Raw genomic sequence first — 20,087 nt, forward strand, 5'->3', positions numbered from 1 at the left:
GTGAGTGAGTGTCCACTGAACTGTGTCTAAATGATTTTCCTTGTGACCAAAGCCAGCCTGGAATAAGCCCCTGCTAGTGAGAAGAGAGAACATGCTTCCCAGGCCGAGGAGGCATTGTTCAAAGTAATGAGTTCTGCACCACTTGGTCCACAATTCACAGCTGAGTCTGATTTTCCTAGACAAAGAGCAATAACCAAATGGAGGATGCTCTTCAGCAAGCTTCCCTGGGTTTATCATTGTTTTTAGACTCATGAGGTGGTGAAGGAAAGATGAGAGTTTCCCTAACCGTCTATGTCCTAGGAATGACAAGAGGAGATGTTTGTCAACCCTGGTCAACATTATGCCAGGATTTTGTCATGGCTGTAATGGATTTCAAGAGTTTAAATTCACTAAAAATGTCTAGAAATTATTCCATCTCAAAAGTTAAATGTTTAAATACTCTATTGTATTCCTTTTATCCTTTTATCATAATTTTATATCCTCTTTTTTTTTTTTTTTTTTTTGTTCAGGGAAAAAATAGTTATGATCCTTCAGGCATGCAGACCAACATTCTTAGAAGGAAGCTGCAGAAGGTTCATTATGTCATGAAACACAGAGCCAGAACAAAGGATTACTGAATCACTCACCTTATCTTCATCTAAGAAACCTGAGAATTACAAGGTTTCTGTTTCTTCTAAACTCTGTGCTGCACTTGCCAAGACTACAAGTTTTAGAGTAGAGTTTGTACTTCAAAAATGTAAGCAAATAGGTGCACATAATGCTTCCTATCCTAGATGTACAGCCTTATCTAAATTACTCAGTTTCAGCATTTGTTTCTGAATCTGCAAGTCTGAGTGATTAGCACCAAATCAATCGTTCTCCTTAAGAGTACCAAAGGTAGTATCTTCACTCTGAACGTCTGAAGTGGTATTAGAATTATTTCAGGACTCACAGCTCTTAGTTCATTCAGAACAGAAATCTGGATTTATTCATCTTGCCTTATATATAATACGTTCTCAATAAACATTTGTTGACTAAGTGAATAAATTAAGTAAAAAACATTTCGTTAAGAATTTTCACAGTATTTTACATTATGGCACCCTAACAAGGAGCACTTTTATCATATTCTATGTTTATAATACTAGCCCTATATCTGAAAGACTGATTTTTAAAATAAATTTAATTGAAGTTGATGATGTGGGAAAATATATCAAACGGAAGCAATAACTTTAAACAGATTTTATTGCAAATCTGGTGCCACTATAAATCCTCGCTCTGCCCATCAACCTTCCCTCTCTTTGTCTCCTTCCCATTGCCTCTCCCCAGCCTCCCCCAGGTACTCCCAGTCTCATTATCCCATGATCTGTTAAAACTGCAGTTTACCTCCTGGAACCAGCAGAAACACATGTCACTGAGAATTAGGGAATTGGAGCCAGTTACAAGCCACCAAATAGGGTCACAAAGTATCTGAACCTGAAAATTAAGAGTTTTTCTATTTTGCTAAACATGAGAAAAGGGGAAAAACTCAGTTGGACTTATTTTTAAACATTTGAGCTAGATGGATTGCACAATGTTAAGAATTTATGACAAATGAGATGGGAGACAACTTTAACAGCATGTTACTCGCTAATCATTTGAAAAGTGGTATGTTTGATTTCATTTGCTGATGGTGGGAGGATATTATCTTAAAACATCTACCACAAATAAACACTTGCTATTCTTGAAAACAAATTGCTTGAAACTGGTATGTAGCGAGACAGTACTCACGTATTACTTCATCCAAGGTATTTTATGCCACACTTTATCCCAAGAAGAATAACTCCATTTTAAATTTGTATTAGCATTTATGTTAATTCTAACCAATGTTAAATAGCAACTAGGTACCAATCATGCTGCCAAATATTGATGCAGTTTAAGAAAAATAAGCAAGAAGCTACCGCTCCTTCTACATACCCCTTAAGATGTGTACTTTTGCCAAATGCTAGGCTGTATGTAAACAAACGGATTTTAAAAGAGGGGATAGGGCTGTCAAGATTCACAATTTTATGAAAATGAAAATGATTCTCATCTGCTGGGCGCGGTGGCTCACGCCTGTGATCCCCACACTTTGGGAGGCAGAGGTGGGTGGATCACCTGAGGTCAGGAGTTCCAGACCAGCCTGGCCAATATGGTGAAACCCCGTCTCTACTAAAAATACAAAAAATAGCTGGGCGTGGTGGCGGGAGCCTGTAATCCCAGATACTCGGGAGGCTGAGGCAAGAGAATAGCTTGAACCCAGGAGGCGGAGGTTGCAGTGAGCCGAGATCGCACCACTGCACTCCAGCCTGGGCGACAGAGCCAGACTCCGTCTCAAAAAAGAAAAAAAGAAAAAGAAAATGACCAGCTTGAGAAAACTGGCTTCTGTTAAGGCTTCTTGAAGCATTCTCTGCAGAAGACTTTAACCCCAAAGGTGACCAAAACGCTGAGGCAACTGAAAAAAACTACCGCCTCTTCTGGGAAATCCTTTGTTTCTTTTCATTGGCATTATACTCTGGTCCCTTTTGCAGAGCATCTCCTTGTCATAAACATGCCAATAAACAGGACATGGGTGCTGCTGGGTTGTACAAGCTCTGCTCTTCACCTGGGTTAGGAGGCACAGATTTGTTCTTGTAACGCTCGAGAACAATCACTTCACTGAATTTTCTAACTCCTTACCAGGAAGTAAATGTTTTATTCGTCTCCCCTTTTCGGGACAGAGGGGGATTTCAATTGCTGCCCTAATAACTAATCTCTCACCATTTTCTTCTGTCCGTGATCAAAACGGTAACAAGGGAAGGGAAAAGTTGGGTTTTTTTTTTTAATTTAGTTGGTTATTGCTTTAATGCTGAACTCTCAACGTCAAAATGTGATCACAAATTGATTCGCAGAAGGAAACAAATAGAAAAAGCCTCGGGAAGGAGGGGAGAGGGCGTCGCAGACGCTCAACAGGGAACTGGGTTTAGGGGCTCGCGGGGTGGCGTCTCGGACCCGCAGCTCAGTCGCCAAGGAAACGCCGCGCAGGCGCAGAGCGTGCCGCCGCGGGGCCGGGGTTTGCCTCCACCACCCCGCGCCGCTCGGGCGCTCTTGGTTCTTCCCAGGAAAGGGCAATGGAGTATATCCTCCTCGCGCTGAGCACACCTAGTCTCTAAGAGGTCCTGAGCAGGGTCACCGGGCGCAGGAAAAGCTGTGAGACTCCCCAAGTGTAACGGACGCTGCACTCCCCTTGCTGGGAAACGCGGACCTGCTCTCCTGGCGGCGTCTGGCGGTCAGAGAGAGGGTCCCGGGACCCCGCGTGAGGGTGAAGCATCCTGCAGCGAGGCTGGACCTTCCACCGGGCGAAACGCCACCCACCACCACCGCAAGGGACCCGAGAGTTACATTATTTCGCGGACACACACACCCACCCTCATCCTTCTGAATTATGGGACCCTGAAGAGCGGCCGTGGCCAGTTCCCCGCACGGGGCCTTAGGGGATCCCCACGCACAGCACTCACAGTCCTAAACAGGCGTGTGCCGGCTGTGGCTGCCGAGAAAGGAACTTGGGCCACCTGCTCACTCGCTCATCGGACTGGCGTACCAGTTCTCTTTTTCCTGCACACCCCCTTCTCTCCTGGGCCCCTTCTTCCCCCGAAAGCACTGACCTCCTCAGCTTTGAGTGTTCAGTAGCTGAAGGACTCCTCGGAGTCCGTGGCACAAGGAGCCACCTCCGAAGTGCTGGGGTGATGAGTTATTGGCCCCTGTGACTCCAACTCCAAACCCCTGCCAAGGGCCAGAAAAGCCCCCCTAGAAGAGCACTTCTCCCCACTAGCCAGCAGAAGCCCCAGACGAGCGGGGAAGAGCAGGGCGCCGCCGCCACAACCTGCTTTCTCATTCAAATCCTCACGCTCACACAGGAGCCCCCCTCCCTCTCGGCCCCGCAGCTTCCGAGGAAATCAGGAACTGGAGTTGCGGAGAGCGGACTGGAGCGCCTGCTGCCTCCTCTGGCCCGGGCGGGATGGGTGTACGGAACCCTAGGGCTGCACGTGGAACCCCAAGGCTGCACCTGGAACCCTTGGCTTACACTCTCCTGCGGGGCTCCCCGCTTGGCAAGGGCCAGAAGCACTGGGAATGAAGTACTTTTACTCCCCCGCAAGTTTCAAAAGTTTCGAAACCCAGGGTAACCCCTCGGGGCTGTAGCCAGAGGGCCTCGGTGGTGGGGGGTAAAGGAGTTGGAGAAACAAAGTTGGAAGTGAAGGGCGCAGGGAATGGGAACTGCGTGCAACTTGCACCAAAGTGAAAAGTGTTCTCAAACGTCCGTCTTACCTCCTTTAAAAAAAAAAAATTTCTAAGAATATAGCATCTGTCGATGCCGCAAATTAAAGAGATCTACTCTGAGTGAATGGGAACTGCGTGCAACTTGCACCAAAGTAAAAAGTGTTCTCAAACGCCCGTCTTACCTCCTTTAAAAAAAAAAAATTTCTAAGAATATAGCATCTGTCGATGCCGCAAATTAAAGAGATCTACTCTGAGTGAAGTGCAACTAAAATTGAGAGCGTGTAAATGGTAACACTTTGCTTTTATTTACCCCCAGTCTCTTCATTTGGAAATGCTACTCCTTGGCATTAACAGGCCACTTATTCACTTAGATCCGTTTAGTGGCTGGTTGACTCAAGCGGGCAACCTGCCGGGAGTAAGAAGGCGGCGGTGGCAGAGGAAAGCTTGCACGAAGCAGGCACTCAAGTGTTGATGAAACGATGAAATCTACTGAATGCACTGAAAGGATGAGTGACCAGCTTGGGGCGGATGCTGGAACCGCCGCTGGCCTAGACGGCCGCGGTGTGATCCGGCTTCTGGATTCCAGGATTTACATTTATCAGCCTTCATTCAACCTGCCCTATTGTTAGTTCAAAGCCTGGCTGGGAAGGAGTGGGGACGCAGCTCTTCACTCACCTTTCAGTTTAAAATAATCCTCCAATAAGAATGTCCTAGGAAAGCTGGCAGCATGGGGTTGGCAGGGATTTTCTGGGCTTAGTGACAACATAAACTAAAGTCATTTTCTTTTTTCATGCGTGAATTTGCCCAGGAAGTTACAAACGAGTAAGTTACAAATGAGTGCCTGAGATTGGAGCTCAGGGCCTTGGCTGCCTGTTCTCTTTGACAGACAGTGTGGAGGGTGGTAGCACTGTGACCTCTCAGCGCAAGATCTAGGGTTTCACCTTTTCATCCCACTTAGCCGATACCATAGAAACAACCCATTTGTATTATTCAATTCAACAGAGGCAATTACAATGTCACAGCAAAGCACCATGGGCAAGAAGAAACTTTGTCCTGAAAACAATCCTAGACTCTCAGAAAAAAGAAAAAAGCCACCAGAATACCCACTTGAATTTCTTCCTGCCAATAGTACCAGGAAGAAATCAATTTGGAAAAAATGTAGGTAAGGTCCTTTGCCTCTATAGAAAGAAACCTCCCCAAATTTACTTGTTTTTGTTTTTGTTTTTTTGCATGCCCATACACAAGCCTCAATTTATAAGAAATTAAGTCATTAACCCTCTGCCTCCAAACTGCTTTATATTTTGTAAACAAGCTTGTTGGAGATTTGTTTTGCTGGTAACCTCCATGGTGAATAGAAAAGCCAAAAAAAAAAAAAAAAAAAAAAAAACCACCAAGATAATCCCTCAACAGCAGCAGTTCACCCCCTAACCTCCGGTGTTTGTCTTTCTTGAGTCTGAAAAAATGCAGATGCACATGTTGAAATAAACTCAGACACAAAGTTCATAATAAGAGCACTTGTTTGCTATGCATTCTTTATTTTGATAGTTTTAATCAACTCCCATAATTTTGTAAACTTTTAAATTTTTAAATTGTGTGATATTTCAAACCTACCAAAAACAGGATATATACCATGTAATACTCCTGCTCCCCCCAGCCCTTCTTTTTTAAATAAAGCATTACAGATATAGCTAAACCCCAACTCCTGACTCGTTACCCCCACCCCTTCCCAAAGGTAATAATTCTGAAGTTGGTATGAATCATAATTATGCATGTTCTTAAATGTTTAGGACATTTATACATCCATAATCTTTTAATGTAGCTTTTCTCTCCAAGTCGTTTTAACATTATTTATCTGAGAAAAATCACTAAAACAATTAATTAATTAATTGGAGAAAATCACTAAAAACAAGAAAATGTGTTACATTGCTAAGTTTTTAGAAGCAGGACAGAACTATTTTTCCTGCTTGTGACAATCAGAGTATGGAATAATAACAAAGGGATTAGACAGTGGGTAATAAGCAGCCTCTCTAGGTTACACAAACTCTTCCATGGTTACCAAAGAATAAATAGAAAAACAAAACAAATAATACCCTCCTCTTTCACTGGTTAAAGGGGAACTGGAGAAAATGAGATCTTCATTAAAACTTCTTTGGGCAGGTAAGACAAACATCCTACATGGTAGTAAAGTACCTTTTCTAGAGGATCTCTTGGTCATGCAAGCTATGATCTTTTAGTAAGGATTTACCACTTTTCCAAGTATAAAGAACTCCTGCTGGTAGCTCAATACAAGGTTGAAATCCGCCTGGCTGAAAAGTCTGGGGTTGAATTAGCCCTGCCTCTTCAAGCACAGGGACATCCATCTGTACAGTAGTTACAAAAATCTTTTGCTGTGATTCTTTGACTTAATGTCCTCCCAGCATTAAAAGTGCTAAGAAAGCATCAATTTTTCTTAAATGCCATTGAATGGTGAAAGGCATCCTTCCCAACCCCCACCCTCTTCATTTCCTAAGCGATGACTCTCATTAATTATACTGGCACACCACTGCCCAGCCTCCCTTCTAAATAGCTGCCAGATTTCTACATATCATCTCTGCCTTGATACAGAATGTGCACTGACACCAGGATCACAGAAAATCCTGTAAGAGGTGCCTGATACACAGTAAAATGATTGATGTGCCTTGTGGTGAGCCTGCTGTGCTGCGTATCGTAGGGGGTTTCTTAGAAAACTGCACTGGGAATTTCTGTGTTGGAAAAAGATTTTTCTAGCTGTGCAAAAATTGTGCTTCCAGTTGCAAAAAGAGCCATTTATTTAAGGTGTTCAAATTTAAACAGCAACCATCTTGAGTTATATCCACGAGCAAGAGAGGAAAGGAGATAAATGTTCCCTATTTTAATCAATGCACCAAGTTAAGAAAACCATTGACCAAAAAAGCGTATCAAGGAAGAGGCACTCCTCTTTCAACACATATTTCTTTAGTACTTGCCATGTACCAGGCACTGCTCTAGGTGGTAAGCCTTAGCTGGAATATAGATAGCACTCCTGAAGTAGAGCGTAGTACCTGTCTTTATGGCCCTACTCTACAAATTGGTCACGGCTTTTAGGTACAAATAACAAAACCCCTTATCAAACCAGCTTGAGTAAAAAAAGCTGATGTATTGACTCCCACTTTAAGATAGGGGGAAGGATAAGGACTTCAGAAACGGTGGGAGTCTAGCAATTCAGAATCAGCATTTCTCTTGTTAAAGAAAAAATTAGTCAGTGTTAAAGCATGGTAAGGAAGGCTTTATCCAGCACGATCGAAATCGGCACAGGGACTACTGCAAGGAGCTCATGCAGAATACAGCATAGGCAGCTTGGAATTTATAGACAAAGAACAGATGGGGTTGCTGGATGAAAAATCACTAAGAGGAAACATCAGGAATATGAGGAACTCTAGCTAACCCGACATAACTGGATTCTTGCTGAACACAGGCCAGGGAGATCAGACATGACCTGGGCAATAGTGGAGGATGAGGGATCTGATCAGATATTGAGAATGATCAGATATGGAGAGTGGGGGTTCTTGCTAAACTGACTTGGCAGAACTCTTTTCTAAAACTGAGTTTTACAAGAAAACGCACATATGGGCCCAGGAGAAGGCTCAGAAGCATGACTAATGTTTGTTTGGCCAAGCAAGGAATTTTTGTCACTCTCACACTTTCACCTTTGCTCCTACTATTTCCCTGTCTCTGCTTTTCTCAGTGTTTTGATCCTATTCTCTCCTATTCCATATGAGCTTTCTGTACAAGCTGGGGGTGGGGAGAGCATGACTAGAGACAGCTCCAGGTTTCAATCGTCTCAGCTAGAGAGGCCTTTTTGCTTTTACCATCTGTAAATAAGATGGTAGGAAAGGATTCGAACTGACCTGACTTAGGTCATGTGTCCATCCATAGGTCAATTACTGTGGACAACAATAAGTAGAGTATATGTGTGGCCAGATCCTGATTATACACACACCCTTATGGCCAGGAAGGCGGGGTATTATAAGTAGCAGCCCATCAGAACTGCTTGGAACCAGGGAGGATTTGTTCCCAAGATGAAAGGGGCTGGTCCTACCAAGTGAAGGCAGGAAGAGATTCTGGCAAATAAAAAGAATAGATATGGGCTGGGCACGGTGGCTCACACCTGTAATACCAGCACTCTGGGAGGCTGAGGCGGGTGGATCATGAGGTCAGGAGTTCGAGACCAGCCTGGCTAATATGGTAAAACCCCGTCTCTACTAAAAATACAAAAATTAGCCAAGCATGGTGGCAGGCACCTGTAATCCCAGCTACTCGGGAGGCTGTGGCAGAGAATTGCTTGAACCCGGGAGGCAGAGGTTGCAGTGAGCCAAGATCGCGCCACTGCACTCCAGCCTGGGTGACAGAGCGAGACTCCGTCTCAAAAAAAAAAAAAAGAATAGATGTTCCCTAGGCTGCCCTCTCTTAAATCTGCTGCCAAAGAAAGAAACACCTTTATACTGATTCATATGTATATGACTTAATCTACAAAGTAGATCAGAAGAGGAATTTCCTAAATCCATCATGGGAGACTGAGGAGAGAGGAGTAGTAATGGCCAACTGTAAGTTCTACCAATCTTTCCCTCCCCAGCTGAAGAAGCATGTGTCCCCATGTGGGGCCAACTGACAGGAGCTGGAGATGGGGAGGAAGGAACATAACCAGGATAGCTGATCTCTGAAAGAGTTGTTTTGTTTTGTGTTTTTGATTTTTTTTATCATGGAAGTGTTTATATATACACGAAAGTAGAATAGTATAATAAAACCCTATGTATTAGTCGCTGTGTTTCAACAATTGTTAATATTTTGACAACTTTATCCAGGAATATGGAGATTCTCTGAAATACTTAAATTCATAAACTAACACATTTTTGCAGTACTATGATGCTGGTTACTGAAAGAAATGCATGCCTCTTATGGTAAATTATATAAGACCAGTGTATGCAAAGCCCTTAGCAAAATGCCTGCTACAAAATGAGCTCTCAAATATGCCAATTATTTTTACTGTTAACATTTGAAACCTATTTAAACTTTTATTTATTTATTTATTTATTTATTATTTTGTGTGTGAGACGGAGTTTTGCTCTTGTTCCCTAGGCTGGAGTGCAACTGCGCGATCTCCACTCACTGCAACCTTCCCCTCACGGGTTAAAGTGATTCTCCTGCATCAGCCTCCCAAGTAGCTGGGATTACAGGCATGCGCCACCATGCCTGGCTAATTTTGTATTTTTAGTAGAGACGGGGTTTCACCATGTTGGCCAGGTGAACTCCTGACCTCAGGTGATCTGCTCACCTTGGCCTCCCAAAGTCCTGGGATTACAGGCCTGAGCCACAAGTCTACAAATGGAAATGTTTTGGCATACAGAGGAAAATAATGTTGGGTTTTTTTTGTTTTGTTTTGTTTTGTTTTGAGACAGAGTCTTGCTCTGTCACCCAGGCTGGAGTGCAGTGGTGCGATCTTGGTTCACTGCAACCTCTGCCTCCCAGGCTCAAGCAATTCTCCTGCCTCAGCCTTCAGAGTAGCTGGGATTACAGGCGCCCGCCACCGTGCCTGGCTAATTTTTGTGTTTTTTAGTAGAGACGGGGTTTCACCATGTTGGTCAGGCTGGTCTCGAACTCCTGACCTCAGGTGATCCACCCACCTCGGCCTCCCAAAGTACTGGGATCATAGGCATGAGCTACGGCATCCAGCCGAAAATAATGTTTTTTAAGAGATGGGGCTCTCACTATGTTGCCCAGGCTGGACTCTTAACTGCTGGGCTCAAGGAATCCTCCTGCCTCAGCTTCCTGAGTAGCTGAAACTACAGGTGTTCTGCTGGAAAATAACTTTTTAAGGCTAAACTCTGATTTTTCATTTCTTACCAACAGACTATAACTTTTTTTTAATGACTTATTTTTAAATGGCAGCTGTTTACATTTTTTCTATAACAAGCCTATATAGCTGGGCGCGGTGGCTCACACCTATAATCCCAGCACTTTGGGAGGCCAAGGCGGGCGGATCACGAGGTCAGGAGATCGAGACCCTCCTGGCTAACATGGTGAAACCCTGTCTCTACTAAAAATACAAAAAAAAAATTAGCCGGGTGTGGTGGCACATGCCTGTAATCCCAGCTACTCGGGAGGCTGAGGCAGGAGAATCGCTTGAACCTGGGAGGCGGAGGTTGCGGTGAGCCAAGATGGTGCCATTGCACTCCAGCCTGGGCAACAAGAGTGAAACTCCATCTCAAAAAAAAAAAAAAGCCTATGTAACTGTTTTCCCCTTTTATCTGGAAAGGTCAAAAATATTATAAGCAATAAGCAAATGCACATTTCACCTTACAAATAAGGAGAAAACATGAGCTAAATTGTTAAACTGAGGAATGAGCCTGGACTACATATCAGAATTCTAAATAATAGGTCCCCACTTTACTGCCTTGGCAAAATACTTCATCCTGTGAATGCTGGGTGAAGGGAAAATAGCATAGCTGTGCCTAAGTTAATTTTATTCAACAAAGATTTTCTTAACTTCAGTTATACTTTTTGGGAGATTTTAGTTCGCAAAATCGGGTGAACACTTTCTAAAAGGCAGTAAGTGTGCTAATTAAAGTGAACTTTCCCCATTTTCTATTTTTCTCCAACTTGTTTGATTGTTTATTTCTCCTGTGGTGGGAAGGGGAATGAAGTAGTTGGAGGAAACAATAGTGTCAGAGAAGGAGAGAGCCCCTTTTCCTCCTTCCTAAGAGCTTCACAACTCAGCTCTGTGCATTTTGTTTCCAGAAAGACCTCCCACAGAGCCAATATCTGCAACTTTCAAGATGGTCAAAGCTTGCTCACCAAGACAGACCTTTAATTGAAGTTTCTTTATTCAGCCTTAGAAGTAATACTGAAACTATGAGGCTACATATTTCCCTCATGGAATATACTGGGTTCCCCCTCCAATACTATTGTTAAAAAATTCTGTAGAATTCAATAATATAATTAAAAGAATCTGAAGCACCATTTTTATAGACATTGAACAAAAGTTTAGAAAGACAAGCAAACTGAATTGTAGACAGAAAATGAGGAAAGACACTGGTGAAAGAGTTACAGTGCAAATTCTAAAGTTTTGAAAGACGGGGGACATTGTGGGGGGAGGCAATTTACACCACCAGGAAAACTCTTCTATTTCCCTACCAGTTGGAATTCTAATGGGGTGTGCACTCTCTTACTAACACCTGTTTATTTTTAACCAGAAAACAAATGGTTGGATTTTTCTGTACAAACAGAGCAAAAGTTTTTCTGCACCTCAAAATTTGTATTTAGTTTTTGTTTCACTTATTTGCATAATTAAACTAGCTACATATTAAGAGGGCTTGCTTTGTCCAAAATAAATGTCTCCCTTTTTAAACTTGACAAGTTTACAAAATGTTCTCTCAGATCATTTCAGCAAATTAATCTTCACGGTGTAGGCTGATGGGATGCATGGGGGAAATTCTGACTGAAAAAAAAAGGTCCTGGTCAAAATGACAAGGCAGCACTGTGATGGGCCATTCATTTATTCTTTCATTCATTTATTTAACAAATATTTAGAGAGTTCCCTATATGAGCAAGAAACAGGGCTAAATCCTGCTGTGGAAGGAGCAGAAATGATCCAAAATTCAGTAAGTATGGTTTGAATTATAAAGTCTAATATACCTTGGACTAGAGAGAAGAGACATGTAAATAAATAATTACAATACAATGTAACAAGGGCTAAAATAGATAGGTGTACGGTGTTGCAGAACAGAAGAGGGCGCTAATTACTCAATTTCATTGCTAGTTACACAGAAATAAAGTGTTTTGATAACCAAAACAAAGCAGAAAATGGAAGTAATGATCCCAATGCCTGAATTTTTAAAAAACCTCATTTCTGTCTGAATTACTCACTGTCTTCACTTGAGTTCTAGATATCATCAGGCTGGCCGGGCGTGGTTGCTCACGCCTGTAATCCCAGTACTTTGGGAACCCGAAGCAGGCGGATGAGGTCAGGAGTTTGAGACCAGCCCGACCAACATAGTGAAACCCTGTGTCTATTAAAAATTAAAAAATTAGCTGGGTGTGGTGGCGTGCACCTGTGGTTCCAGTTACTAGGAAGGCTGAGGCAAGAGAATGGCTTGAACCCAGGAGACGGAGGTTGCAGTGAGCCGAGATTGCACCACTGCACTCCAGCCTGGGTGACAGAGCAAGATTCTGTCTAAAAAAGTAAAAAAAAAAAAAAAGAAAGAAAGAAAAGAAATCATCAGCCTTCTTCCAAAGAGTGTGCTAGAAAATGAGATCTTCTGTACCGACTTTTAGTAACCGATAATGTCATATTTTTGCATTGCAAACCAGTGCATACATTCATGCATACATTTATGCAGTGCAAACCAGTGCATAAATATATATATTTATAACAAAAAATTAACAAAACAATACTTATCTTTGCTATGTTCAATGCATTCTGATACATTTTATCCTGTTCTGTTCCTTTATCTTAATTGCTGGTGGCAACCCATTAAATTGATATCACATCTCACTAATAGGCAGAGCCTACAATTGAAAAACAGTGTTTGGGCCGGGTGCAATGGCTCACACCTGCAATCCCAGCACTTTGGGAGGCTGAGGCAGGCAGATCATGAGGACAGGGGTTCAAGACCAGCCTGGCCAATATGTTGAAACCCGGTCTTTAATAAAAATACAAAAAAAAAGTAGCCAGGCCTGGTGGCACGCATCTGTAGTATCAGCTACTCGGGAGGCTGAGGCAGGAGAATTGCTTGAATCCAGAAGGCGGAGGTTGCAGTGAGCCGAGATTGTGCCACTGCACTCCAGCCTGGGTGACAGAGTGAGACTCTGTCTCAAAAAAAAGAAAAACAGTGTTTGGTCAGGTGCAGTGGCTCACCTCTGTAATCCCAACATTTTAGGAGGTCAAGGCCAGCAGATCGCTTGAGCCCAGGAATTCAAGACCAGCCTGGACAACATGGCAAAACCCGTGTCTACAAAAAACATAAAAAAAATAGCTGGACATGGTGGTGCTGGTGCTGGTGCGCACCTGTACTCAGCTATTCAGGAGGCTGAGGTGGGAGGATCACTTGAGCCCTGGAGGCAGAGGTTGCAGTGCATTTAGATCATGCCACTGTACTCCAGCTTGGGCAACAGAGCAAGACCCTGCCTCAAAAAAAAAAGGAAAACAATGTTCCAATGTGTTCATTAAAAATGAACAAGAAGCAAAGCAGTAATACTCAGAACAGAACCAAGTGAGATCAGAAGATCCCCAAAGACCTACATCCTGCCCAGTAAATTGGTAAATCTCATAACCATATAAGATTAAGTCTCTGGAAGAATAAAAGTCCTGTGATTCTCAACCCTTTAGCCATCCCTGGGCTTCTCAACCCGTATCAACAGGAAGAGGTGTCCAGATCTCAAAAGGTGGATCTGCTCCAATGGCTATTTTTGAAGAGGCCATGGAGGATAAGGATGATCTTACAGAGAACAGAACTGAGGCACCCAGATGGTATGACCAAGAAACGCACACAACTAGGACCAGGAGCTATCATTATTCCTCTCCAGCAGGATAAGACAGAGCTGTGGACTACTGACATTCTATTTTCCCTTGCATTATATAGTGGATGCATTGACATTTGAACTAAGGCTTCCAGATCATGAGGAACTACCTCTAGACCTGACCAAAAGGGAATACCTCTCAGAGATCCCAAACAAGTGGATGGGCTTTTTGGATTGTAATTGGGTAATCCCACCCACTTACTTACTAGATAAAGCCTACCTTTTTTCCAGAAGTATAATAATGAACTCAAGTCATCAGTATCTCGTTAAAATACCACCTCATCATAATTTGCAAAATGTTAAAATATCTAGCTAATTAATGATACCTTTCCTGATTTTCCATCATTAATATCATTTTTTAATTTTAATATTTAATAGTTTGATGTAATTTTAATGGGAGGAATGCAAGTTAAAGGAATGAGCTCAAATTGCCACCTTGAAAAAGAAAATATAGTTTGTTCATTTAAAAAGCACTTTAACTATTTTACTGTTAAATTTCTGTTCTTAACCTTTTTTTTTTCTTTTTGAGACAAAGTCTTGCTCTGTCGCCCAGGCTGGAGTGCAGTGGCGCAACAATCTCAGCTCACTGCAACCTACGCCTCCTGGGTTCAAGCAATTCTCCTGTCTCAGCCTTGCAAGTAACTGGGATTACAGGCGCCCACCATCATGCCCGGGTAATTTTTGTATTTTTAGTAGAGACAGGGTTTCGCCATGTTGGCCAGGCTGGTCTCGAACTCCTGACCTTAGGTGATCCGCCCGCCTCAGCCTCCCAGAGTGCTGGGATTACAGCTGTGAACCACCTCGCCCAGCTTTGTTCTTAACCCATTTTAGTTTTTTGTTTGTTTGGTTGTTTGTTTTTAGACAGAGTCTCTCTTTCACCCAGGCTGGTGTGCAGTGGCATGATTTCGGCTCACTGCAACCTCCACCTCCCCAGTTCAAGTGATTCTCCTGCTTCAGCCTCCCGAGTAGCTGGGATTACAGGTGCCCGCTACCACATCCGGCTAATTTTTATATTTTTAGTAGAGACAGAGTTTCACCATGTTGGCCAGGCTGGTCTCAAACTCCTGACCTCAGGTGATCCACCCACCTTGACCTCCCAAAGTGCTAGGATTACAGGCATGAGCCACTGTACCCGGCCTTAACCATTTTAATTTTAATCTCGAGGTTTTTTCTTCAGCCTTTTCATATTAATAAATTTGTATTACTTTCTCCCTGTGATTTGCCTTCATAGAAATAGCTGCCTTGGTGGCCGGGCGCGGTGGTTCATGCCTGTAATCCCAGGACTTTGGGAAGCCGAGGTGGGTGGATCACCTGAAGTCAAGAGTTAGAGACCAGCCTGACCAAGATGGAGAAACCCCATCTCTACTAAAAATACAAAATTAGCTAGGCATGGTGGCACATGCCTGTAATCCCAGCTACTCAGGAGGCTGAGTCAGGAGAATCACTTGAACTCGGGAGGCGGAGGTTGAGGTAAGCCGAGATTGTGCCATTGCACTCCAGCCTGGGCAACAAGAGTGAAACTCCGTCTCAAAAAAAAAAAGAAATAGCTGCCTTGGTAGTGACTTTAGAGAAGCTCCATATCATGAAGAAACCATCTCCTAGGAAACCAGCTCCTCCTCAACTATCCCAGCCGTGTAGCCAGTCCCTTAGTATAACTGTCATTTCTTTTTTCTTTTTTTTTTTTTTGAGAAGGAGTCTCCCTCTGTCACCCAGGCTGGAGTGCAGTGGTGCCATCTCAGCTCACTGCAACCTCCGCCTCCTGAATTCAAGCAATTCTCCTGCCTCAGCCTCTGGAGTAGCTGGGACTACAGGCGCCCGCCACCACGCCCAGCTAATTTTTTTATTTTTAGTAGATACGGGGTTTCATCATGTTGGCCAGGCTGGTCTCGAACTCCTGACCTCAAGTGATCTGCCCACCTCGGTCTCCCAAAGTGCTGGGATTACAGGCGTGAGTCGCTATGCCTAGCCCTGTCATCTCTTTTAATGGTGGCTAAGCAATACTGTTTCTGTTGCTGCCCTGAACGTCTGGAACACTGCTGTTTCTTGGCTTCTCGAACCACGTAGTCTCTTTATGTCAATGTGTTACCAGGAAGTGTGGGAATCCTCAGTTCTAGTCTAACTTGGAAGAAATAATTCAGCCAAGATACGCATAGCAAGGGTTAAGTAGCAGAGTTTATTGAAGGAAGATAAAGTATATTCCTAGAAAGGAGTGAAAAACAGCTCTAGGTTGCTTCAGCTGGAAAAACAGTAGTAGTAATGTTTAAGTAAAGAGACAGTACATGCTGAAATAAGAAGCCAGCAGCAGGCCGGGTGCAGTGGTTTACACCTGTAATCCCAGCACTCTGGGAGGCCGAGGCAGGTGGACCACTTGAGGTCAGGAGTTCAAGACCAGCCTGGCCAACATGGTGAAACCCTGCTTCTACTAAAAATACAAAAATGTAGCTGGGTGTGGTGGTACGTGCCTGAGGTCCCAGCTACTCGGGAGGCTGACGCAGGAGAATCAGTTGAACCCAGTAGGCAGAGTTTGTAGGGAACTAAAATTGTGCCACTGCACTCCAGCCTGAGTGACAGAGCAAGACTCTGTGTAAAACAACAACAACAACAACAAAAAAAAGCCAGCAGCAGCTAGTGCTGGAGGATTCTCTTTACGCGAATCTTACATGATTATTCACAAAGGGGCATGAGGGGAATGTTACTCGCAAGCATGTTTCAGGAGGTCTCCTTGGGCATGCACGCTCTGTGGTTGTACATGCTGGTACACATGTCGCATGTCTCATTAGCATTTAAAATCTCCACCCAGGGGTGTGTTTTTTACTATTATAATGAACAAAAGGCTACTCTAGGGTGAGTTTTTGGAGGAGTGCACATGCTCATCAGCAGGGAAAGTTTCTACCATGGTTATCTCTGGCTTGGGCCTTATACGTACCCTTTAGGAACGGAGGAGACCAACCATAAGGCCAGAAGTAGCCAGTGTAGCCACTGGGTTTTTTTTGTTGTTGTTGTTTTTGTTTTGTTTTTGCTGACTGTGAGTGGGCAGTGCTGATTATTAGTGGGCAGCATCTCCAGGACTTCTTTTCTCAGAGGAGCTCCATTGCCTGCTCATTTCTGGCTATCTGCCTACTTTAACAAATGGTAGCCAGCACATATAACCACTGGATTTGGGACAAACTGTGTCAACAATATGCCCCTTGACAGCACATACAGTTTAATTACCCAAGGGAGGGTCTTATAGCTCAAAGATGCAGTCCTTACATTGTTGAGGAGCCAAATGATGCTGGAGCAATTCAGAAGAGGATAAAACTCTTGCATAACATTATCTGCCTGCCTCAGGTGCAGTTAATTCTTTTTTCCTTTTTTTTGAGATGGAATCTTGCTCTGTCACCCAGGCTGGAGTGCAATGGCACCATCTTGGCTCATTGCAACCTCCACCTCCCAGGTTCAAGCAGTTCTCTGCCTCAGTCTCCCAAGTAGCTGGGACTACAGGCACCTGCCACCACGCCCGGCTAATTTTTGTATTTTTATTAGAGACAGGGTTTTACCATGTTGGCAAGGCTGGTCTCGAACTCCTAACCTCAAGTGATCTGCCTGCCTCAGCCTCCCAAAGTGCTGGGATTACAGGCATGAGCCACCATGCCCGGCACAGTTAATTCTCTAAAAGCAGGTTTGCAAGTGTATTAGGTTGGTGTGAGGTACTGACTGGGATCTCTACTAGACTCTAGGAGTTACCAGATATAGCAGGCATAACAGCAGCACTGTTGGGATCCATGGCTCTAATTTTCCTTTGAGCCAAGTTTTAAGAAGACAGTATTTCAGGCAGCAGTATCCTCAGATTTCCCAGTGGCGGGAAAAGTCAAGCTGATTTAGGTTTCACAAGTACCAGCTATGAGAAGAGGTCTGGGAGTAAGGAGGAGTGGAAAAGTTAGAGTCTACAGAGCAGCAAGCATCCCTTCCCTTTCCTGTTCAAATGGGGGAGGAGATTTGACATTAACACTTCCCTTCCATTTTTACAAGGCGAGGGCATTACATATCCCACTATCCTGGGAAATCATGATTGTCTCTCCTGAAATTTGCTAAGCTACTGGACCTGCCAGCACTTCATTTTCCTGAGACAAGAAGAAAGAGGCATCATTTAAGAAGTGAGGCAAGAGAGAGGAAGTGCCTGGATAAGAGCCGACATTCCCATCACTTAGTGTAAGAGTACATATGTTTCCGGCCAGGTGCAGTGGCTCATGCCTGTAATCCCAGCATTTTGGGAGGCTCAGGTGGGCAGATCCCCTGAGGTTAGGAGTTCAAGACCAGCCTGGCCAACATGGTGAAAACCCATCTCTACTAAAACTAAAAAAAATTAGCCAGGTGTGGTGGCACGCACCTGTAATCCCAGCTGCTCGGGAGGTTGAGGCAGGAGAAACACTTGAACCCGGGAGGTAAAGGTTGCAGTGAGCCGAGATCGTGCCACTGCACTCCTGCCTGGGTGACAGAGTGAGACTCCACCTCGAGGAAAAAAAAAAGTATGAATGGAAAATGAAAAACCCCAAAAAAGGAAACATAAATTAAAAAGAGACTGAAAAGGACCAAAAAATCCAATCCTTTAGAAATAAAGAACTAAATTCATTTGATAGAAACATATTTTAAAAGCAAGGAAGTCTAGATACCCAAGGTACCAAAAGAAAAGAAGCCCGAAAGGAAAACAAAGTGGCCATGGACCCTGTTGTTTTAAAGACAAGATTGTAGGGGAAAATTGTAATGTATTTTCCTCACTCATTGCAAGGTTCATGACTGACATCCCTCATAAAAGACAGATTAACAAGAGAAAAACCTATAAAAAATTTATTTAATATAAATTTTACATGACACAAGAGCCATCAGAAATGAGGACTCAAAAACCCAGGGAAAACTATGTATATTTATGGACGATCATGCAGAGGACAAATGAGTATGACCTAATGGTATTAAACTTGGGGGAGCTGGCTGGGCACGGTGGCTCACACCTGTAATCCTAGCACTTTGGGAGGCAGAGGCAGGCAGATCACCTGAGGTCAGGGGTTCGAGCAGCCTGGCCAACATGGCAAAACCCTGTCTCTACTAAAAATACAAAAATTAGCCAGGCATGGTGGCACATGCCTGTAATCCCAGCTATTTGGGAGGCTGAAGAAGGAGAATCGCTTGAACCCAGGAGGCGGAGGTTGCAGTGAACCAGGATTGCGCCATTGCACTCCAGCCTGGGTGACACAGCAAGATCCCATCTCAAAAATAAAAATACATAAATAAATAAAGTTGGGGGAGCAAGGCCTATTTGTTCAGATTCTTCTTGGCCTCTGGGGATAGAACAGGCTCCCTCTGAAATGACAGTCTTTTGATCTACTTTCAAGAGAGGCAGGTCAGAGAATTCTTTTATGGCCAGCTTCAGGAAAGAAAGGTGGCAGAAGGTCAGAGAGTGACTTTCCTGCTTCTGCAGTGTTCTCAATTTCCTTCAACTTAAAATACTCAGTATGCCAAGGTGCCACATTTTGGGGTGTCATGTTCTGAGCCCCAATAAGACCAAGAAGTAGTAAATCCTCTATTTAAGAAAGGCAAAGAGCATGGGCTTTGGTCTGATATCCAGCCTAACAGGGACGTTTTACTTTTTCAGATGGCCCTGTTATAACCATCCCAGTGACAAAGATCTAGCTTTTCTAAAATTACCCAGTTCAGCTTGCCCTTGGGTTATCCAACAAGCTGGTCTACAATACTAACCAGAGACAAGCTGAAAAAGTGAGTGCTGGCCCAGAAAAAAGCTGCCAACCAATGGAAATTCTCCACCCAAGAATACATGACCTTCACGTAGGTGTTAATACTGCCACCGTCTAAGTGGAGTACAAGAATAGTCAGCAATGGTGACTGCGCATGAGAGGAGACCCCTTGATCTGCATTTCTTATTGCTCATCTTGTCCACAAAATCAGGGTTCCCTACTACATCATCAAGGGAAAAGTTAGATGAAGTCACAGGATGACCTACATCAGTCTCACTTTTATACGGCTTAACTGGAAAGATAGTAGTATGCTGGCTGAGCTGGTAGAGGCCATCAGAACTAACTACAGTGATAACTATTGTAAGATCTGACATCACTGGAAGACAATTACTTAGGCCCAAATTCTGTAATTCACAATGCCAAGTTGGAAAAGAAAAAGGCTCAAGAGCTTGCCACAAAACTAGTTTAAATATACTCTGTTAACTTCATGTAAATAAAAATAAAACATCCCCTTAAAACAAAAAGCTATTGAGG

General features: G+C 43.6%; 1 protein-coding gene and 1 pseudogene across 11 annotated transcripts in view, besides 3 other annotated features; one reads left to right on the top strand and one right to left on the bottom strand.

The window, feature by feature from the left end:
• PLCH1 (phospholipase C eta 1) overlaps positions 1 to 3,870 on the bottom strand; it is a 294,138-nt gene extending 290,268 nt beyond the window's left edge. For all 11 annotated transcript variants that reach the window (XM_017005927.2, XM_047447747.1, XM_047447746.1 and 8 more), the window contains exon 1: positions 3,639 to 3,870. The gene's annotated coding sequence lies outside the window, so the exon portion shown is untranslated. The remainder of the gene's footprint in view (positions 1 to 3,638) is intronic.
• Positions 3,107 to 3,728: an enhancer, noted in NCBI's record as "H3K27ac-H3K4me1 hESC enhancer chr3:155462097-155462718 (GRCh37/hg19 assembly coordinates)". NCBI's record gives its function as "activates a minimal SCP1, AML or CMV promoter by ChIP-STARR-seq in naive H9 embryonic stem cells {active_cell/tissue: H9 hESC(naive)}" and the evidence as "EXISTENCE:reporter gene assay evidence [ECO:0000049][PMID:30033119]".
• Positions 3,107 to 3,832: a biological region, named in NCBI's record as "H3K27ac-H3K4me1 hESC enhancer GRCh37_chr3:155462097-155462718".
• Positions 3,623 to 3,832: an enhancer, noted in NCBI's record as "active region_20720". NCBI's record gives its function as "activates an Ori minimal core promoter by ATAC-STARR-seq in GM12878 lymphoblastoid cells {active_cell/tissue: GM12878}" and the evidence as "EXISTENCE:reporter gene assay evidence [ECO:0000049][PMID:35858748]".
• RPL7AP24 (ribosomal protein L7a pseudogene 24) lies at positions 19,361 to 20,022 on the top strand (annotated as a pseudogene).

Source organism: Homo sapiens, chromosome 3, assembly GCF_000001405.40.
Source record: "Homo sapiens chromosome 3, GRCh38.p14 Primary Assembly".
Lineage (NCBI taxonomy): Eukaryota > Metazoa > Chordata > Mammalia > Primates > Hominidae > Homo > Homo sapiens.